General features: G+C 35.0%; 1 annotated feature.

The window, feature by feature from the left end:
- Nucleotides 1,644-1,693: an enhancer, noted in NCBI's record as "active region_15574". NCBI's record gives its function as "activates an Ori minimal core promoter by ATAC-STARR-seq in GM12878 lymphoblastoid cells {active_cell/tissue: GM12878}" and the evidence as "EXISTENCE:reporter gene assay evidence [ECO:0000049][PMID:35858748]".

The following is a 3,752-nucleotide window of genomic DNA, read 5'->3' on the forward strand; positions in this document are numbered from 1 at the left end:
TTGACTCAAAGAGAGGATTCAAGTGCAGTAGAATAAAGCTGCTAGAGAAATAAAGCAGGAAGTTTCAAATTAAAGAAGAATGGAGTGGAGATTGTGAGGAAATGCAGATCAAAGTGACAGGGTTGAGGGGAGAAGAAGGGACAAAAGAAATGGCAGATAAGAGCAGAAAGACCAAAGCCAGGGTAAAGTGCAGTGAAAAGGAAAGAAGTCAGAAGGAAATATGTTTTCATTTATACTACTCCGGAAGGGTATTTTAAAAGGAATATGATGTCACTTCCGTGTCGGTATAGCAAAGATATTTCATAATACATAATTGTATTCCTTTTTGTCCATCAGGACCAAATTATTGCTTTCTCTAGAATTAATTTTTCTACTTTTTAGCAGAGCTTCAGAGAAATACTAAAATGATTTCATTTTTAAGAACTCATGTTTACTTATGGCACCCTTAAGAACATTCCCAAGATAAATATAAACAAATCTAATCTTACTCTCACAATGTGCTTCCCATGAAGTTTAGTCACTGAAATAGATGTACCACACAAAGGAGAATCAGTGCCAAACCTAATCTCACACTTTTAAGAATCATAAATCTTTACTTTTTAAATGAACATTCAAGCAACAATGATGTCCCTGTTACAGAAGTAATGTTACTTTAAAATGTTGCATTCCTTGACAAGTTTGCAAGTATGAACATAACACTTGTGGATCTTACTAGTGACAAAAAAAGGAATTTGCAGTTACTTTTAGTTTTAGTTTTATTTGCATTTGAACATTACAATAGATTGGAATTTTGGAATTTGTCTAGACTACAAAATTTTGCTCAGGAAAGTATAGATATGTTTCCCTTGCCCCGAAGAATGAATTTCTACTGTACTCTGTGATTGCATCTCGCAAATGAATCTTTATAGAGGAAGACTCTCTGCATATGCCTATGTCTCACACAGTCAGCTCAGCATATGTGACCATCTCAGTCCTCAGCCTGCCTCCCAGGTAGTTCCCTAAAAGTGTCCCACAGGCAACTCTGGCCTCAACTAGTAACAGATTTTGCTAGATTGTTTCACTTCCCAGGGGTGTGATTCAACATGATACATGATCTGACTCATGTAATAGGTCTACAAATTTTTTATTAAAATGTGACTTATGAAACAGTGCAAACATTCAGTATAGATCAAAGGCTTAGCAAACTATATATTCATTAGCTGGAATATTATACAGCCATCACAGATTATATTTAAACACATTTTTAAAGATAAAATAACAATTTTTAAAAATCAGTATTCAAAATTGTATATATGCTATAATTGTATATATATAGTGGGAAAAATAAAATTAAGCTTGTATAAAAATAAAACTAAGCATGTGTAAAAAGAAATATACGGTAACTGTGACTAGGTAGCTGGACTGTAGTGATTTTTTTATCTATATTTCTATTTATTTTCAGCATTTGCTTAAATGAGATTATGCTGCTTTAATAATGAATATGCTTGTATTTTAAAGTATTTGACAAAAAGGCCGATTTTGTTTTTGTTTTTCCTCTTAAATTTATTTTTTACTTTTTTTTTTTTTTTCTAATGAGGGAGGATCAAGGCAAAGCATAGCAAGGGTCAAAAACAGGAAGATTCAAGTTGGGGACCTAGGATCAGATATGGAAGCTGCCATAAAGAGATAAGAAAGCAAGTAAGCAAGTAAGCACAGCTGCAGGTTTATTGCTATAGGTCAAAGTTACAAACTGAGATCAGCCCACCAAGAGATAGAAAGAGGAACAGAAACTTAGCTCTAAGACCAGAAAAGGAGGAAAGGAAGAGGAGGCAACACCCTAGTATATCATGGGACATCTCATATGTAACTCATTGAGTCTTCATATTTTCTTTCTTTCTTCATACTTCTTTCATGAACTTTGGAGAGAGCTAAGAACCAGACAGGACTTTAAACTTTGGAGAGAACTAAGAACCAGCCAAAGCTTATGGCCCTTTAATCATTCAGTATAAATTCCTCCAGGGCCAAGCACCATCTCTGGCACTGGGGAAGCAACAACGAACAAAAAAGGATAGCCCCACACTCCTGGGGTTGATAGTCTTGATGGGGAGAGTTGACAAAAATATAGAAAAATTAATCAGTTAGATAACTAGCTAGTGTCAGGAACGAATAAGGGCATAAAGACAATAAGATAGGATCACATGACCAGGAAGTGTACTTCCCACAGTCAGGGCAGAACTTTTTAAAGAGGTAACACCCGAATTGAAGCATGATGATACAAAAACCAGTAAAGACCTGAGGGAAGGATGTTACAGCTTTAGAGGACAATCTCACATCAAGCCAGCTCCTGCAGAACACAAGAACCTCAGTGAGAGGAGATAAACCAAGGCGGGGAGTCTGTTAAAGAAGACAAGGAGGACACTTGCTCTCATCTCAACTCTGGGTGAAAGAAATTGGGAGGTAGAAAAGTTTCCCTGAAAATTTATGTTTACAAACTGGAACTCACTTGGGTTATAGCCAGAATATACACTACTAGTATAGTGGGGAGGATATAAAGCTTAGAAGTTAGTTTGAACTTAGTGTTTACTTTTCATAAACAAAAGAAAATTAACTTTAGAGGAAAGCAACTTAAAACTGGTCCTCAAAAAAACTCCTACAGGTTATGTTCCATAAAACATGTGTTCACAGAAAACAAAAACAACAGACTCAGAAAGACTGCCAATATTAGGATTATCAAATGGGTAGCCTAAATAATTATCCTTAATGCAGTTATAAAAACTAAAGTATCTGTCTCAAGTATAATAGAAACAGTAGACTGAAAATAATGAAACATACTTGGGAAAGAATTAAATAAAGCTTCTAGAAAAAAATCAAACAAATATTTTAAAAACTGAAATTACAAAATCAACAAATGGATTAAAGAGCAGATTAGGCACAAATGGGAAAACACATATAAAACTACTTTTTAGAGTAAATATAAAGTACTCAACAAAATTAGGGATTAATAGAATTATGCATGCAAAGCTGGCTATCCCAGATTACTACCAAATAGAATGTTAGAGAAGAGAGTATTTCTAGAGGTTAGCTTATCAAGCATCCTCTCAGAACAAAAATTCCCCCCTGGAGGCTCCTTTTATTCAGAGTGTGAGCTCCAAGACAGAAGGGACCAGTGTGACTTATTCACCAGCAGATCTCCAGCATTGGAAATAGTTGTTGGTTAAGTGCTCAATACACATTTGTTAACCGAATGAGTGAATAAATGAATAATGACATATTTAATAATAGTTGGTAGAAAGCCTACAATGATATTTGGAAACTTTAGTCTAATTCTGGGAATACACATCTCTAAAACATCTGGTTTAAAAAAATGAAAGATTCAGCCCACTAGAAAATAATTTTTGTGCCAAATGCCAAGAGATTGACATATAGAGATTTGAGTTTCTGTATATCACTGAATGGTTTGACAGTGGTTCTCTCTTCTTATGCCCTTATTTAGTTGTTGTGCTGACAAAATTCAAGCAATACTCCACCTCCGCAATCTGTTTCATCTCCCACACTCCCTGCACATTTTGAGATACTGAATCTAAAATTTGTAAATGCTAGTGAATGAGGCTCTGATGCAGTCTTCAGAATTGGAAAACTCTTTATCAATCCTAGCAGATTAGCCCAAGCTTATCTTTAATGCAGCATATCAGTTGAGGAGGTGGCAGGGAAAATAATAAGTAAATAGTTTTCACTGCTAAATCACTTTCAGTTCATGCCACATTGTATATTAC

Source organism: Homo sapiens, chromosome 2, assembly GCF_000001405.40.
Source record: "Homo sapiens chromosome 2, GRCh38.p14 Primary Assembly".
In the NCBI taxonomy this organism is placed as follows: domain Eukaryota; kingdom Metazoa; phylum Chordata; class Mammalia; order Primates; family Hominidae; genus Homo; species Homo sapiens.